A 19,989-nucleotide genomic window follows, 5' to 3' on the forward strand; every position below is an offset into this window, starting at 1 on the left:
TGTTATTGTCTCTAAAATTTTGGTGTTGTTTGAAGAACAAAAGTTTTAAATGTCAATGAAGTCCAGTTTATCTTTTTTCCTTGGTTGTTAGTGCTTTGGTATTATATCTAGGAATCCACTACCAAAGTCAAGGTCATCTAGGTTTATAGTTGTTTTCTCAAGAGAATTTAATAGTTTTAGCTCTTATATTTAGGTGTATGTTTCATTTTGAGTGAATTTTTGTTTATGATAAAAGGTAGGGGTCCAACTTCATTCTTTTGCATGTGGTTATTGAGTTATCCTGTCTTCAGTTGTTGAAAAAACCTGTTCTTTCCTAATTGTTGTGGCACCCTTGTTGAAAATCAGTTGACCACAGTGTAACGATTTATTTTTGAACTGTAAATTCTATTCCATTTATCTCCATGTCTAGTTTCATGATAGTACCACATAGTCTTGACTACTGTAACTTTGAAGCAAGTATTGAAATCCAGAAGTGTGAGTCTTCCTATTTCGTTTTTCCTTTTAAAGATAGGTTTGGCTATTTTGAGTCAAACTTCTATATGCATTTTAGAATTAGACTGTCAATTTCTGCAAAAAATTGCAGCTAGGATTTTGATAGGAATTGTGTCAAATTTGTTGATCAACTTGGAAGCACTGCCGTCTTAATTCAGACACATGGAATTCATTTCCATTTATATAGATCTTTAATTTCTTTCAATGATGTTTTGTAGTTTTCAGTGTACAGGTCTTGAACTTATTTTGTTATATTTATTCCTAAGTATTTTATTCTTTTTATTGTAGGTGGATTTTAAAAAGAACCTACCAACATTAATTTCTTTAATTAAAGGAAAGTCAGACCACCTTTAAACCAAAATGGCAAATTTAATCTATAAGATTGTGCCCAAACTGTCCTGTATTGAAAGTGTTAAAATACTAATTTACTATACAGTATTTCCTAGCCTTGCCTAATCATAAATTATCTGAGACACATGTTAAAAACATAAGCTTCTACCACCCTCAAGTTATTGACATTAATACAATCCATAGCACTTACTCAGGTTTCACAAGCTTTACTTTTAATCATTTGTGTGTGTGATTGTGTAGGTCTTAAGTTAGGAAGTGCTACTATAAGATACAGACAGAACCAAAAAAAATGGAAGATAAATAGATTTCTGGCATATCTTTTTATGTAGTATCTCCTATACATTTGTCAAAGATATTTGTTTTAAACTTCGTATTGTAGTCTTCATATGCAAAAGTGCATTTTCCATAGACGTAAATTTCACTGAACACACCCCTGAAATCAATAGTCCAGAACTCTCCTCCGTATTCCCTTGCAGCCACTGCCCCTTCTTACAAGAGCAACAACTATCCTGACTACTCACTGTGTAGAATAGTTTTACTTTTTAAAAATTTCATGTAAATCGAATCATATAGTTTATATCCATTTGTGCTAGCCTTTTCACTCTACATTGTGATATGCGTTTTATCTACGTTGGTGCATATTGCTGAATATTGTTTATTCTGGTTGATGTGTAGCATTCTATTGTGTGAATATACTATGACTTGTTTATTCATTCTATTGGTGGTGGGCATTTAGGTAGTTTTCAATATGGGGCCATTATTAACAGTGCTGCTATGAATATTCTAGAATGTGTCTTTTGATGGACATATGTATGTATTTCTGTTTGGTGTACTCCTAGGAGACAAATGGATAAATTGGATGGTATGTATATTATATTATCCATTGTAAATGAAGTATAAAATAAATTTTAAAAAATGGGATCACAAATTTGGCATGAAGATTAGGATACAATGAAAAGTTCTGAAAGTGGGCATTAGTCCCAGATAATCTTCTGGAGGGCAGATGTGGCAGAGTTGGGATTTTGTTTGTTGTGAGACATAGAAGACAGAAAGAAGATGCCACTGCTAAGTTTCTAATGTACTTCTCATATATTCAAGATGACTTTTGGAGTATCGATAATGATCCAGAGGAAAGTCCAACAAAGAACTAAAGGAATATTTCACAGTAGTGTTACTGAAATTTTAAAATAGATTGCAGTGATCTACTTAAATCTTACATTTTGACTTTAATTATGCTTTGGGGTGGAGAAATAAGCCCCTTCATGATTCTGAGTTGAAATATACTTCAAATGCCTTTTTTCCTACAGCTGAGGCAGTAAATTAATTGACCTAAAATAGTATGAGATGCCCAAAAAATAACTCTTCTTATTTTAGGGCCAGTAATCACTTATTTTCTTTAAATAAGTTATAGTTTAATAAATACAATCAAACTTTAAAAGTATCTAAAGTCATTTCCAAATCAATGGCATTATGACCAAATCATTTAATAATATTTGTAAGACTACAATGAATTAAGAACCATCCAAATCATTTCCAAATATTATCAATGGCTTTGGCAAAAGAGCACTAGTATTTCAAAGGTAATAAGTTATTTCAAAGGAAATATTTTTATAAGAATTGCATTTTCCCACCTTGATAAACTGCAAAATGTCTCTCAAAAGTAAACCTCTAGGCTTTTTTAGCTCAGTAATTATAACTGAAAATAGAATCACCTGGTGGCCTTACATGTCACTACCCCACAGAGTAACAGATAAATGGAAAATTGTTTTTGATTGAAATATTATGGTTTTAGTAAGATTTAACATGTATGACTTCAGACTGATTCACGTTGTGTTATTAAGGAAGGAGATACAAAACTTTTATGTCCGATTTTCCAATAGCATATTCCAGAAAACATCTCTCAAATAAAATGCAGCCTATTAAACTGTTAAAAGATAGATGCAAATTAGAAACTGAGATAAAGATAAAACTGCAAAAGCGTATATTGCCTAGCATATCAATTTTATTTTCCAATGTCTGACAACATTCACTAATTGCCTGTCATGTTTATCTAGCACCATTAAAATCCTTAATGCTACTAGTGAACTGCTAGAAAAGCATTCCCCTGCCTTCTCTGCTCAGATCATTTTTTAGGGCAATTAACACCAAACAATCATGGGGGATGGAAAGAAAGAAAAACATTTAGAATGTTTTAAGGCTAAATAAACTGCTGGCATCTTATAGCAATGTATGGTTTCTGAGGATGCTAGGATAAAATAAATGACTTCACAATTAGGATATTAAAACTTTCAGCAGTTCAACACAGAATTTGACGCTTGGAAAAATTAAACTCCAGACTTCTGATTATATTTTTGACTGCTGCTTTCAGGTTGAAATAAATACAAAAGACTAGCAGGCTTAAAGTGGCAACTGGAGGACATATTGCCTTTGAGATACACACAATCACTCATTCATTTGAATTATGAATGTGGAGATAAAGTAGATTTCAACAACTTTCACAATTACTAAATTGTGCTGCTGAAAGGAATACTGTTGATGGATCAAAGAATTCATTTTGAAAGCACATAGAAAATACTGGTTGCTTCTGATTTATAGCTGTGTGAATGAGTAACTCTGGCATTCTCTCTGAAACATCTGGATTAATTTCAAAAGCAACCTCAAAAAATCTCTTCTACTTAATTGTGTATTATATTCACTTGATTGCAACTGGGAATGAGAAAATGTAGCTAGACTTTTATCTATTGTGGTCCTCACAGGCTGGAAAAAGTTGAAAAAAAAAATCATTTTGCAAAAACTTTCCAAACGGACAATATTCTTGAGCAATTATATATTAAAAACTGGTGATCTGATACCTGGGGCAACCAAATTACTATGTATATATATCCAAACTCCTATATTCCAATGTTCTACCCGTTGTATATTTGATGGATGAAAAGTTATAAATCAATATTAGGCAATTAATTATCATAGTAAAGTACCCAGGCAAATTTATAGAAGTATAATACAATATTATTTTAATTATATTTATTCATTTTATATACATTTGAAAGCATATGTATTCATATCTGCTAAGTATTTATAAATTTTCACAGAAAATTTCAATATCAGTATGAATGGCTGTGAGGTTTTGTTATTGTTATTTTAATACTGGGAATTTACTCAATGACCACGCTTTTTCAGATTCATTGAGTGATATCTATGTACAAGTTCATTACCAAGGGCGTTTCTTACAGCAAACTCTAAAGGCTTCTCTTGTATAATAAAGAATTTGCCTGGCCCTTGGCCAGGTAGGTCTCTCGGCCCTGAAATTTCACTAGTGATAGAACTATCTATGTTATTCATGGTGGGCTCCTCAGACTACTTATGATTTTATGCTGTAAGGATATCTCAGGAAGGGGCTGGTCACACCGGAGAGACCAATCATCTGATTAGAGAGTTGGAGCTTTGAGCTACATGTTATCTGACCACCTTTAAGACGAGAGAGATTGCATTTAACCACATGGCCAATGATTCTTCAGTCATGCCTATATAATGAAACCTGAATAAAAACTCTGGATACCAAAGCTCAGGTGAGCTTTCTGTTTGGAAATGCACATCAGTGTGCTAAGAGAAAGATGCCTCCTGCCTCCACTAAAGAGATTATGGATGCCTCATGTTTCAGATGCCCCCTCACCTCAGCTACCTGTCCTTTCGAGCTGGTTCTGATTTGTATCCTTTTGCTATTATAAAACTGCAGTGGTAAATATATTGCTTTTCCAAGTTCTGTCAGCTGTTCTAGTGAATTACTGAGCCTGGGGCAGTACTGGGAAGTCAGAAATTTGCAGCCAGCTTGTGAGAAGTAAGGTTGGCTTGGAGACTCCCAAATTTGCAGCTGATATCTGAAGTGAGAGGAGTCTTGTGGAGTACTGGGCCCTTAACCTGTGAAGTTTGGCCTAACTCCAGGTAGTTAGTGTCAGAATTATATTGCACTTTCAAATATATATTTTGTTAAAAAAGAAAATAAACTTATATATGTAAGAACCTGTGTTTATATTTTACTTATTCAACCATAATAACAAACCTTGGGAATCATTACACATACTAAGGCATTTATTGACTTTCTCCTCATATTTAACATTTATAATTTTAACTAACATGATGTTGAAAATCAGATGCAGAGTTTAAAAACCTCACATTAGTAATAGGGCTTTGTCAGGAATACAAACATATTTGATGGAGTGTTCAAATTGTGAAGATGAAGTAATGGAAGATGTATTAATTTTGAAGCTTATTAAAATGATTTATTTTTAACTTGATCCAGTGCAATGCACTGTTCTTTCAATCAATTAAAATCTAATATTGCCATGAAAGTATTTGCAAAGGATGATCTTTAAACACTAGTTTACTGGATTCTAATAAGTATTAAACATAATTTTAACAAAAAGCAGTCTGTGGTAAATTGAAAAACTGCTGCATGAAACTAGGTTATACAGGTCTATTTACCCTGGACTTTTCCCTTTTGGGTAATACAAACTATGACTCTCTGAGAGAATGACTCAGATACTGCATTCCCATAATTACTGACTGACTTTTTCACATAGCATTTCACTGGACTAGAGAAATAGATCTAAATAGATTATAATTGGAATGCTTTAAAATTGAATTCATGTTTTGAAACATTCGGAATTTAAGATTTTTTAAAGTAGGTTTTTTTTTTTTAATTTCCATTTCCAGATATAGAAGAAAATGCAAAACCAAGCAACCAAACAAAAATGCCAAAAGCTTAAGATAGTTTCTTCTTCCTACATTATTTTATATTTTACAGGTCAAAAGTCAAACATGGATAAACTAGCAATAAATTAATTTCAACAAAGGGAGGGGAAAGTGTTATTTGGATAAATTTCCTGTTTTATAAAATGTCTATTTAAAAGATCAAAGGAGAGTCAATTTTGTTTTATATCCAGATGACCTAAAATTTCCTATAGTGGCAGAAATTGCTGATAAAGGCAAAATTCTAATTTTTCTTTTTTGGTTGTTGCAAATAATGAATTGTTCTTGGCAGTTAAATTTATTTTAAGCAATAGAACACTTTATTCCTAAAAAACTGAAGGAAAGCCAAATAAGGACACAGGATCTATTGGAGGCTATGTTTGACAGCCTGGCCTGAGGGGCTCTGGGAAACCCAGTTTGAAAACCATGATATGAAGTAGTAGATGAGTTGAGGTGTCGGAACATGAACTAAATGACAATGGCAGATGCTCTTCCATCACACCAGACATGAATGGCAGCTGCAGGAAAATCTCCAGCCCTTCTCTCCCTCATCACCTCCTCTGTGCTCCCTCAGGGAGCCTGTGTGAGCTTAGTGCTGATCTCCACACCTTATTTAAATTCGACCCTAGGCAATTGCTTTCTCTTTGTGCCCAAGTATCCTTAGATGCTCTTTCCTTCTTTCCTTGGCTCTTTAAACTTGCAACTAGTTACCTCAGGAAAAGTCTGTCCCTCATCCCCTGCCTCTCTTTTACATTTGAAAGGAAAAAAAGATTCCAGTTGTGAATGATAACTGCAAAAGCAATACTCGCTCTACCTATGCTATCAAATGAGACACTGAAAATCTGAAATGCATTAGACATTAAATAAATTCTACCAAATGGAAAAGCTCTTTGGAGAAATTAGGACTCCATTTCAGCTTGTTTACAAGACTCTATTTATTGCTTTTTCTGCCTGGTTTAATTAAACATGTTCTTCCTCAAATACGAGTATCCACTATGATAAGGAACAATTTCTCATTCAATTTTGTTTCTAATTAACCTCTAATAATGAACCTATATAATCTTTGGTAGAATCCTATTACAAAAAGTAATACATTTCAGTTACTTTATGGTTGAGTGGTCAGGTGGGTTATTCTCTACCCATATTCATGATTATATTTATCAGTTTTATCTTGAGTTCCATATTACAACTTAAAAGCACAAACTCTTAAAGTCTATTTGTAAATTGGGTATTATAATTTTTAAAGTTCATCCACGATGTATTCCTTTTCCAGGTTTTTTTTTTGATGATTCTTTCCTGTTCCTACAAATGTTAGTAGAAAAGAATCCCACAGCTGAGACATGTGTACTGGAGCCCTGAGTGATACAAAACAGTGTTTCATATTTACAGTTACTTCTTTGCAGTAGCTAGTAATGGTCATTGAAACATGACACCTGCTTTGGAATCATCTGTGTCAGAACTGTGAGAGGCTGGTGGAATAAGCAGTAGACTGCTTAGGCTATTAGGCAATAATGTTAAATGTTTCCACACAAGGATATAAATACTCCACACACATATTTATAATGTAAAGATATTCTATTAAAAGGTTTTTCCTCATTTGTAATATTTGTAGAGCCTTCTTTTTATTTTAATAATTAGTGCTATAGTGCAAACTGGTATGAAAGCAAATTTTTAAAGAGAAACTTTGGGTGCTAGCAAAGCACACTTTGAATCCTACAGATGCTTGCAAAAAAGCAATTGCTTAAGCTACTCATTAATGTCCAGAAAGTCCTCTGTAATATCATTCACAAGCATACTAGGCAAAGAGAGAAAACATGGAAAAGTCAATACAAATCACTATATTTAAAAATTAATGTTAAAGAGATATTATATTAATAAGGCATTAGACAAACTATTCTGAACTATTTAATTGTTACTACAATTGGAAGACAAATGAACATAATTAAAGTGGCCTACAAAAACTGTATGTTAGCTTTCTGAATGCCAGTATGATGTCCACATGGCAGTACCAAGGCCTGGTAATTTTAGAGCCATTGGATCATGATTCTTAGAGCACAAAGAAAAGTGTGCCCGGCACTTAAACATAATATTGTATTTTGTTTGACAATCCGGTAGTAAATAAACCTAGAACCCTCTTATTTCTCTAGATGAACTGAAAAAGACTTTTTTCTTCCTCAATACTTTGACAGATATATTTTAATATTTTGGCTGATATATTCATTTATGTTCTCTTTGCAATTTTAATAATTTTTTTCTTCAAGCACAAAAAGTCTTAGAGTAAAATAATAAAAACTATTGAGCTGTAAAATGTGGAATCATTTTTTTCATTAAAGTTCAATTAATATGGAATTCCTTCAGCAAAAATATGACTATTTTCAAAGGACAAATCTGAATTGGGCTTTGATTTTTTAATAGTGTTCAGCACCAATTTTCCATTAAGACTTAATACCCAATGCATTACACAGAGTAATAAAACTTGATAAAGAAACAATGTAAGTATATTAGAATGTTTTACAGGTATACCTTATTTTATTGGGCTTTGCTTTATTTTGCTTTGCAGATCGTGCATTTTTTACAAATTGAAGGTTTATGACAATCTTGCATTGAGCAAATCTATCGGTGCCATTTTTTCCAACAGCATGTGTTCACTTTGTGTCTCCGTGTCACATTTTGGTAATTCTTGCAATATTTCAAACTTTTTCATTATTATTATATCTGTTATGATCTGTAATCAGTGATCTTTGCTGTTACTATTGTAATTGTTTGGGGGTGCCAAGTTGTGAATGCAAAGAAAAACTTCTTGAAGGAAATTGAAAGTAGTACTCCTGTGAACACACAAATAATAAGAAAGTACTAGAGTGTTATTGCTGATGTGCACAAAGTTTTAGCGGTCTAGAAAGAATACCAAACCAGTCAGAACATTCCCTTAAACCAAAGCCTAATTGAGCAAGATCCTATCTTCAGCTCTATGCAGGCTGAGCAAGGTGAGGAAGCTACATAAAAAACGTTGCAAGCTAGCAGAGGTTGGTTTGGATTTAAGGAAAGAAGCTGTCTATAACATAAAAGTGCAAAGTAAAGCAGCAAGTGCTGATATAGAAGCTGCAGCAAGTTATCTCAAATATCTAGTTAAGGTAATAGATTAAGATGACTACATTAAGCAACAGATTTTTCAATGTAGATGAAACAGCCTTCTGTTGGAAGAAAACAACATCTGGGACTTTCATAGCTAGAGAGGAAAAGTCAATGGCTGGCTTCAAAATTTCAAGGGACAGATTGACTCTTTTGTTAGGGGTTAATGCAGTTGGTGACTTTAAGTTGAAGCCAATGCCCATTTACCATTCTGAAAATACTAGAGCCCTTAAGAATCAAGCTAAATCTACTCTGCTTGTGCTCAATAATGAAACAACAAAGCCTGGATGATACTGCATCTGTTTATAGCATGGTTTACTGAATATTTTAAGCCCACTGCTGAGACCTACTGCTCAGAAAAAAAGATTTATTTCAAAATATTAGTTCTTATTGACAACGCATGTAGTCATCTAAGAGCTCTGATGGAGATGTACAAGGAGATGAATGTTGTTTGCCTGCCTGCTAACACAATATCTATTCTGCAGCACATGGGCCAAAGAGTAATTCTGACTTACAAGTCTTATTATTTAAGAAATGCATTTTGTAAGACTATACTTGCCATAGTTATTCCTCCAATGGATCCAGGCAAAGTATATTGAAAACCTCTGGAAAGGATTCACCAACCTAGATGCCATTAAGAACATTCATGATTCATGGAAGGAGGTCATAATATCTACCTTAACAGGAGTTTGAATGAAGTTGGTTCTCATGGATGACTTTGAGGGGGTTCAAGACTTCAGTGGAGAAAGTAATTGCAGATGTGGTAGAAACAGCAAGAGAACTAGAATTAGAAGAGGAGTCTGAAGATGTGACTGGATTGCTGCAATCTCATGATAACACTTGAAGAGATGAGGAATTGCTTCTCATGGGTGAGCAAAGAAAGTGTTTCTTAAGATGGAATCTGCTCCGGGTGAAGATGCAGTGACAATTGTTGAAATGACAACAAAGAATTTAGAATATTACATAAATGTAGTTGACAAAGCAGTAGTAGGGTTTGAGAGGATATACTCCAGTTTTGAAAGAAGTTCCACAGTGGGTAAAATGCTATCAAACAACATTGCATGCAACAGAGAACTCTTTAGTGAATGAAAAAGTCAATGGATGCAGCAAAATTCATTACTGTCTTATTTTAAGAAATTGCCACAGTCACCCCAAAGTATAGAAACCACTGCAACGCCAGTAGGTTGTAACTCTTTATCTGGAAAAAAATCATTCTCTCCAGCTTTTTATTCATCCATTTATTCTACAAATTTTGTGGAACACCTACTACTGTTCTAGGTACTTAGGATACATCAGTGAATAAAATAGTCTAAGATATCCTCATCAATCTCTATTCTTGAATGGGAGATAAAGAATAAACAAGAAACATAATAAGTAAGTAAATTATATGGTATGTTATAAGATGATACACCCTTTAGAAATGTAAAATGTAAAGCCGGATAAAGGGATTTGGGAGCACTGGATCAAGCTGAGGGGTGGCACAATACCATTCTATCCTTTCCATTTAAATAGAAATCTTGTATACATGTACCTTGCATAAGCTGGGCTACCTCTAAGATTGTTTAAAATATGAAGATTAAATGATATAATAAAAAAGTTCCAGATATTCTGCCCTTTGTTTTGTAACATTTTGAAGATGATTAACTTGAGAAGTACCTAGTACTGTGTGGTTAGGCTCTCAATACATTTCTAATAAATTAATCATCAAGTTGTTGCTACCCTCTCTTATTTCCTTGAGAGGATAGCAACAATTTTAAATCACTCAAAAATCATATTACACATTTTTTATTCATCACAAGATTCCTCTAAGATGATATTGGTTGATGAAAGCATCATCCTCAGCAAACTAACACAGAAACAGAAAGCCAAACACTGCATGTACTCACTCATAAGTGGGAGTTGAACAATGAGAACACATGGACAGAAGGGAGGGGAACATCACACACTGGGGCCTGTCGGCAGGGGTCGGGGGCTAGGGGAGGGATAGCATTAGGAGAAATACCTAATGTAGACAATAGGTTGATGGGTGCAGCAAACCACCATGGCGTATGTATACCTATGTAACAAACCTGCAGGTTCTGCACATGTTTCCCAGAACTTAAAGTATAATTTTAAAAAAAAGCATAAAAAACTGCTAAAAAATTGTTGCTATAGTGACACCTTCCAATATTTCATACCAAGAGTAAATATACAAAATTTGTATTATGTTTTTACTGCAGATATGCCATAAGTGTGTTTATATATCATTTGTGCAGTGACTATATTTAATACCATGCATCAGGATGGATGAACTTTTATGTGGCTCCCAAAGAATACTATAATATCTGATTTTGGCAATGCAGTTATATCACTTTTCAGCACAGAGCCTATTATTACACACAAGTTCAAAAATAACAGAATTCTGCCTCAAGTTTAAGAAACTTAAAAAAAAGTGACCTAGTGGGAAACAGTCTAAAATAATATAATTAAGCTGGTAAAAGTCAAACTGGTTTATGAATATAATAACTGGTAATATGATCCACAGATAGACAACAATGATTAAACAGAAATACCCCAAGGACACTATTGAATAGGGGATTATTGTCATTGCACTGCACACACGGGGATCAATTTTGTCTTTAAATTGAAAGCTGGAAGATACTTTTTTCTCCAGAGCCACTTAATAACCATCCATCTAGAAAGCTGATTTGGCTGAAAGAAAGAAGTTGTCATAGAGATTATAATTAGGGGATGACTGGGATAGAGTGGCAAAGTCATAACATTCCACAAACACCAGAATTTGCAGAACATATTTAAGGAAAGCAGGAATTCCCAAAGAAATCAGGCATTGGAGACTCAATTTCTCAAGACTTTACTTTGAGTAATTATGTTAGTAAACACTAAAATATCAATTGGACATTCCGTCAGATACCAGATTGAGAAAGGAATGATGCAGGACATGCAGAAGAACTAAACTAGAACCATTCACTTCATTAAGGATCTTTCTGAGATCCTTTCGGAATCCCCACGAAGTCAATGTCATCATGGATTCATCATTTTTCTGTAAGTGCCTTTCTCTAGAATACAGTACTGCATTCTTCATGCTGTGAGTTGACAATACTAAAATAAAAAATGTATACTGCCTTTGGCCAATTTCAATTATTTTTGTTCTTTTACTTTTTTGAAGTGATCAAACATTTCTGTGAGTCACAGAATATTTTAAAAGATGTTTCTAAATATAAGATTGACTGAAGTGGCTTGCTGATGCTCTCATGCATCTAATTAACAAATCAAGGCAAGAGTGAGAAAATATAAATGTTATTCTGGAAGCTCACAGGTAATGTTAAACAATTATTTTAGTGATTCAGTATGCATAACAAGCTAAAATGTGAGCAAACACTTATGTGCTGCATTCCAAAATAAACACATCTTTTAAGTGATCTTCAATTTTATATTTTAATGGCTAATTATGGTTTTCTACATTATCACCTCAAAGTAGAAAGAGAATTTATATTTTTCTTGGTATCTAATTTATAACACTTATGTTATTTCATATAGAGAATAAAATATTCAATTACTCTTTGAGATGTTTCTCAAAGTACATGGATTATAAATATTAAGTTCCCTTTACTTTTATAGTTATTGTTCTCAAGGCATGTAATAATCTTCAACTCAGCAATGCATGTATATTAACCTGAAACATACTTATATGCAGAGCTTCAATATTATGGAGTCTTTGGAGTTCACATCATTAGACTTTTTTTTTGTTTTTACCTTAAATATACACAATAAAATTTATTTTTTAATAAAAAGGATCTGGAGATTGATTGCCCAACAACGTGAATGTACTTAACACTACTGAACACACTTAAAGATAGTTAAAATGGTAATATTATACATATTTATGGGGTACCTGTGATATTACAGAGTACATACATACTCCTGTAATGATCAAATCAGGATAACTGAGATGACCCATCACCTCAAACATTTATCATTTCTTTGCATATCACTAGACTTCAATACAATAGAATCTATGTGATAAGGTAACAACAAAAGGACAAGAGTTTTAGAAACTTCTTTGTGTGAAGAACTTAAACAAATTTACAAGAAAAAACCCCATCCAAAAGTGGGCAAAGGATATGAACAGGCAGTTCTCAAAAGACGACATTTATGTGGCTAACAAACATATGAAAAAAAGCTCATCATCACTGGTCATTAGAGAAATGCAAATCAAAACCACAGTGAGATACCACCTCACACCAGTTAGAATGGTGATCATTAAAAAGTCAGGAAACAACAGATGCTGGCGAGGATGTGGAGAAAGAGGAACACTTTTACAATGTTGGTGGGAGTGTAAATTAGTTCAACCATTGTGGAAGACAGTGTGGCGATTCCTCAAGGATCTAGAACCAGAAATACCATTTGACCCAGCAATCCCATTACTGGGTATATACCCGAAGGATTATAAATCATTCTACTATAAAGACACATGCACACGTATGTTTACTGTGGCACTGTTCACAATAGCAAAGACTCGGAACCAACCCAAATGCTCATCAATGATATACTGGATAAAGAAAATGTGGCACATATACATCATAAAATGGATGAAGCTGGAAACCGTCATGCCCAGCAAACTAACACAAGAACAGAAAACCAAACTCTGCATGTTCTCACTCAAAAGTGAAAGTTGAACAATAAGAACACATGGGCACAGGGAGGGGAACATCACACACCGGGGTCTGTCAGGGGATGGGGGGCAGTGGAGGGATAGCATCAGGAGAAATACCTAATGTAGATGACGGGTTGATGGGTGCAGCAAACCACCATGGTACGTGTATACCTATGTTGCAAACCTGCACTTTCTGTACATGTATCCCAGAACTTAAAGTATAACAAAAAAAAAGAGAGGGGGCACAGTTGTCTGCTCTGTGTGTGTGTGTGTGTGTGTGTGTATAAACTATATATATAATTAAACTATATATATAATTAAACTATATATATAAAACTATCATTATATATAACTATTTTATATATATATAAAATGCTGTATATATATAATGAAACTATATATGTATATATAGAATGAAACTATATATATGTATATATATATTAAATGAAACTTCTTTGTAGTGAGATGTTTAAGAGATTTCAATAAATATGTCACCATACACTTTGATAGTTTATAAATATGAGATGGTTTTTATTAGCATTGTTTTCTGAACCATATAATAAAACTGGAGCAGCACCATTCCAATAGCAGGATATATTAATATTTCAGCAAGGTTGGAGGATAACTGCCATGTATCATGCTTCTAGCAATTTAACTCATCCTTTCTTGGCCACTTCTATCAAGTAAGTAAGAGATCATCATCTGGTGTTGCAAGTATGTGGTATCTATGTTTCAGGCTGCCCCACTGTAAACTTCTTTCATTCCATTATAAAAAGACAGATGTATTAAAATAAAAGAAGACCAGAGAAAATTGCTTAATACTGCCTATATTAAGATTGAATATATTCTGGTCAAAGATGGCACCATTCACAATCTTTTGGCAACACAATTATAATTGCTGCGTTTTTCCTTTCTTTTTTGGTTTAGAAAATAAAAGTGGGCACAGTTTCCTAGGAGTATGCACATTTTTCTTTTTGTTTGTTCGTTTGTTTTATGTGTGTGTGTGTGTGTGTGTGTGTCAATCTAAATTCAATAGAGAATAAACGTTTGAGTTTTCACCAGTTACTAGTTGCCATCTTCTCTGCTGCTTAATGACATTTTGTGCATATTGCAAATCTTGCCAGTTTAGGTGTTAAAAGTCTGTTTAAATCTCAAACTGATTCAAATCTTATTTCCTCCTTACTCCCTTCCTGTGCACAGACTTGTTAGGGATTATTGGGTGTGTTTAATGTACAGGCTCTTGATAAGCTCTGGGGGACCGTTCTGGCACCAGTTTTGCCTACCCTTTGCAAGATTTGGGCCCCATCAGGCTTCCTGTCATTATCTTTGGGACTTAAGTTGCCAACTTCTGGACAATGAGGCAATGCCATTGAATGTCCTGTTACATATAAATGATATATGTATAGTGTGGTGCTTCAGAGTTTAATTTAGAATATACGTCTGTAAACCTTCACTTCCATTCCACTATGATGCGTGTGCATTTTCCCTCCACACTCCCGAAGATAGCAAATATGTAACAATGAAGATTGAATTACCATGGCTGTTACATCTAGATGTTTCCACAAGCCTGCCATTTTGATCGTAGCATGCCATTGCTTGGTAACGATATCCTTGTCCGCATTCCTTGATGTCTCCTTGTACTTTCATTCCCAGCAACACTTCCACTTTTCCCTCTGGTAAAATACAGTCTGACCAGTTCCCCACAGGTTGTGCATTATATTTGTCACAAGGACAATACTGAGTCTCAATCAGGGGATACAAATGGGAATTTTTACATTTTTCCTTCTTTTTACTTTTTCCTGTGGAAGAGAAACAATCAGGCAATTTAAGTTGGAAAATACCATCATTAATTTCACACATCCCTAAATTTTCTGCTTTCCTAATTTCTTTTTCTTCATTTTTAACCATATTTAACAGTAGCCTATAAATCAATGCTATTTTCTCATTCCACAGTGTTTTCTACATAGGCTCCTGTTGGTATTGGGTGCTTTGCATAGTAAAATTTGTATTATTTTTTCAGAACACTATTTTTCACATACTTTTTAATTATACTACAGATAAGTATATATTTATCTCTCACCTTCATAGGCTGTGTTATATAGTTTCGACAGTCTTCATTACATAGGTGGTTCATTTTTTAACTTAAATTCTGAGTACTCTACTAGCACCAATATTTTTAGGTTGCTTTTGCCATTGGCAATATTTCAAATGCACCAAGCTTTAGTTCAGAGTGATGGATCCTAATCCTGCTCATTATATTCATGCTGTTAGTCATTACTATGGTTTAAAATACAATTTTCAGATACAGAATTAATGCTATATTCCCCCTTCTAGGTGAGAAAGGATAATCTGAGGCTCTGACAGTGAGAATGGGTTAACAAAGTAGCAACTTTTTCTCTTGTTCCCCAAAAACTTTGCTCCAAGCACTTTACAGTCTGCAGGCAGTCCACTAAAAGATTATGTCTACACCAGAAAATAATCCACTGCATATTATATAGGGAGTCAGAGTTCAATTTTCAAGCCTTCCTTTTCTTTTTACTAAAAGTACATAATGCTTTTATCACTGCCAGCTAAATTTAAAATATACATCTAAATCCATTGGCATATTATTTTTCAAATACACTGTCAGAATTCTCTCAGTCTGACTTGTATTATGTTCCTCTACTTTGACGTGTACTGGCTTTGGCATCCCAATTATTCTTACCAACAAGAGTGCGCTTTCTGGTCCTAACTGCACCACAGTCTCCATTGCATGAAGAAAACTTGGACCAGCTGGTCAATTGACAGTCATCCTGGCAGGGGATCTGGCAGGCCTGGGTAAGGGCTGGCACAGGGCCTGCATACTGTAGGCACTCATGGATTCCAGCCTGTCCTCCATCTTGCTTGCGACAAGTAATGGCTAAAAGAAAAGCATAAAGCTGTTATAACAAATTCAAACGTCTAATTACTCTATAATTTAGAAGCTAACCTAACATTTGGTTAAGCAGTCAGAGAAAGCCTCTTGTAGTTCCTTACTTACAGTAGAAATCTTATAGGAGTGTTTCTAATAATCCCAGTAGCCATTAAATTGGTTATTTTTAAAAATAACACACAACCCTGAGTGATTTTTGTGGCACAGAAAAGTGGACACATATGCATACTTAGCATTTACCAGTTTTAATTATATGTATTCAGGGTTTCAATTCATGTCACATGTAGGGTATATTTAGAAATAAATTTGTAAGAATGTAAGACAAACCATACGTGGGTTCTGATAATAGCTTATGTTGAGCATAGGGTGTTTGGAGAGGGACTGGAAGATACTAGGTATATCTAATATTGTTTTATATCATTGGACACCCTAGAATTCCTTTATAGAAGTGTTTTAGTGGCAGAAAGCTGGTTGGTAGGTTGGAGTTTGGGGTCAGGAAGGTGTGCTTATAGAACTTATCTTGAAACTGCATTGGCATGGGAAGTATGTTCACTGTATTACATTTCAAGTTTATTAGGAAGGGTTGGAATCATTAATGGATAAGCAATGTCAAAGTCCTCCATCTCCTCTTTCTACAAGTTCTTCACATGCACAAACATCAACCTGGCACTTAAAAATTTTCAATAATCTTCATTTATTATGTTAAAATTTGTAGTTCTAAAATTACATATAAATTTAAAAAATCAAAGTTTAAATTCATAAAAATTATTTCGCCTATGATATTGTTCTGCTGACTTAAAATGAGAAATAATATTTTTACCTATTGAACATATACATATGAGTGTTTTATGGTAACAAGTCTTAAAGAAAAAGAGCAAGCATGTTTAAAGCCCACTTTCTCCCTATGCCATTTCCTTTCCATTGGTTTTAAAAACAACTCACTTATTGAGGAAGCAGATGAAACATTAAACCTTGGTCCTAAAGTTGGCTTCACTGAATTATCTTAAATGGCCTCATTCAGATTGATTTACTTGGCTTTTTCAGGTTTATGGTCTAGGCTGAAACTGCCGCTGATCTCTGCCCTGTTCAGGATTCCATCACCATGAAATCGAGGTGAAGGAGCCTGACGTTTTTGACCTTAAATTACAGTGAGGGCATAGAGGGCCTCAGGTTAGACAACACCGTCTGGATCTGTGTACTAAAACCTATTGCCTAGGAGTGCAGGGCTTTGTAATAGAGTGTGTAAATGGACATAACTAGCAATTTTAGCAAGGCAAGATTTTCTCTGTGTAGTTGAACACAACTTAATGCAACTGCTTCAGGCCTAACATAAAAGGCCCTTCTAAATTGTTCAATTGTGGATGCACTTCCCTATTTCTTAGCTTTAGATGTGCTTTTCATTTAGTACACATGACTTGACTTTGGAAGGGCCAGTTTGTAAGAAAAGAACAGGGGCCCCTAAATTTTTAAAAATATGAAAATCCTGGTAGGGTGAACAGTGTTGGCCTTGATGAAGGTTAGATGACAGAAACAAATAAAAAACATTAAGTGTCTCAAAGAGAATCTACCCCCTTGAGGGAGGACACATCTGGTACTCTGTTTAATCATAGCAGTCTAAGATGGTGGTTCTCATGTCTGGCTGCAGATTATAATCCCCTGGATAACCTTTGGAAAATACCTATGCCCTTACTAAACTCTAATGCTCTGATTTCCCTGGTTGAGGTTGGGGTCCTGGGATTTAGGATACTTTTTAAGCTTTCTGATGATTTAATTATCCAAGCTATATGAGAACTACTGCTCTAGTAGGTAATATATTTTCACCTGCATCAGAAACACCTAGAATGCTATTAAACATGAAGATCCCTGGACCCAAAAAGAGTTCCATAATCTGGACCAATCCAGATAATGAGATACCTGCTATGGGGTCAGGAATATGCATTTTTTTCAAGATGCTCAGGTGATCCTTACGCAGATTCAAGTTTGAGACCCACCAGCTTGAGTATTCAAGGTACAGGAAGGGTTCTGGCAAACACATATGGCTAAGACAGAAAATCCTTTGGTACCTAATCAGCCTGGTACCATGCCAAGCTTTGGGAAACAATGGCTGAACATTGTATGAACTGAAAGAGCTCTAAGCTTGGAGTTCAAAGGAAGGGCATGATAGAAATTTGTACAGGGAATAGATAAAAAAGAACATCCATATAGTTTAGAAGAACATCATCTGTAACACAGTGTAGGAGAAATCCTCGAGATGCAGGCTATAAACGAGCTGCTATGATTTTGAAGTTCTTTCTACACCTGCCATTTGGAAGCAGGATTGACCCTTTCAGACACTCTAAACTTAGTAAGTGCCGATGGTTCATGGACAAAGTTGCCCCAAGGATGCTAAAAAAATTGATAAAGAGAAAGATATTAAACTTTTTACTAATCAGGACATGCAAGAGCCTCAAGAATGATATATTTGGAAAATAAGACATCTGATCATATGAGAATCGTAAGCTGTGAAGAGGGTTTCACTGTTTGTAACTAAAAGAAAATTAAAAATTACCAAACTAAATTTGGGTTATTTGAAATGAGACTACTTTTACCTACTCATTCCATTTAGCTCTTTGAAACAGACTTCAATATAAATCTTTTGAGAAATTAGATGAAACTGACTTAGGTTCTCTCTTAAGGGTCTTTCTTACAAATTTTGTTTCAGAATTGCTCCAACCATTATCCTGTTATGTGACACCAAAAAGAAAAACAAAATAAAATAACACTACTACCAATACAATTCCAGAAACAATTTATTTTGTGCAGATCTATACTATTCACATAAACTGGAATCCCTTTTCCCCATATACCTGCACTACATAAAATCTTAAGTACTCTAGCTAGTTGAAAAGAAAAAAAAATTGTGTAAAATTCCCATAGCTATTCTCACTCTGCACTTTACACCTCTTATCTGAGGTTTTAGACAGTGTACTTTTGGAATAAATTACTCATACAATGTTATCCAAACAAGCAGCAACAGCACAATCTGTACAATATACTGAAAATTTATCCTACATCTCAACTTGTTTGTATTCTGACTTAGAGGAAACACAATTCAAACACAGAAATACAATCTGAAATGAACTTCCTGATACTAGGGCGAGGAAAATATAAATGTTTGGAAAGGAAACCATCTGGTCTCTCAACTTTATGGATCTTAAAAATCATTTCTGAAACACTGAAAACAGGGTGATTTGAATAGTAGAAAAGATGGATCATACTAAGAGCACAGTTTCTTAGCACACCAGAAAACTACATATACCCAGAAAATTTGTATCTGTATTTACAGGTGAAGCATGTATATGTCATATCTAATGATGACACAAGTTCTCCTTTGAGCTGAAGCATTGTTAGCAAGATGGGAAAAAGTCATGTTACCCTACAGATAATTCACCATGAAAGCTTCTCAGTGAGATCCGCAAAAATCAAGATGATTATTTTAAAGTAAAATTCCATATTTAACTCTGTTAATTATATCCATTTACTTCATTTATTTATTGTATTTATATAAAGCACAGCAATTTTTATTTAAGTGATATAGGACAGGCTGCTCCTGGCAGACTGAAAGCACGGGAAGAATCAATATGACTGATTTGTGGGTTACATATGAATCAACTTAAACAAGCTTAGCCCATCAATATTGGGAAAATGCTGTAAAGATAAATAA

The 19,989-nt window shown here is 34.3% G+C and overlaps 1 protein-coding gene across 6 annotated transcripts in view; it reads right to left on the reverse strand.

Moving 5' to 3' along the window:
• The window catches only part of THSD7A (thrombospondin type 1 domain containing 7A), a 461,834-nt gene that overhangs the window by 60,786 nt on the left and 381,059 nt on the right, over nucleotides 1-19,989 (reverse strand). For all 6 annotated transcript variants that reach the window (XM_006715662.2, XM_006715660.2, XM_006715659.2 and 3 more), the window contains 2 exons: nucleotides 16,080-16,274; nucleotides 14,911-15,174 (listed from right to left, as the gene is read on the reverse strand). In XM_006715662.2, the coding sequence (XP_006715725.1) occupies nucleotides 14,911-15,174; nucleotides 16,080-16,274 (459 nt within the window). The remainder of the gene's footprint in view (nucleotides 1-14,910; nucleotides 15,175-16,079; nucleotides 16,275-19,989) is intronic.

This window comes from Homo sapiens, chromosome 7 (genome assembly GCF_000001405.40).
Source record: "Homo sapiens chromosome 7, GRCh38.p14 Primary Assembly".
In the NCBI taxonomy this organism is placed as follows: Eukaryota; Metazoa; Chordata; class Mammalia; order Primates; family Hominidae; genus Homo; species Homo sapiens.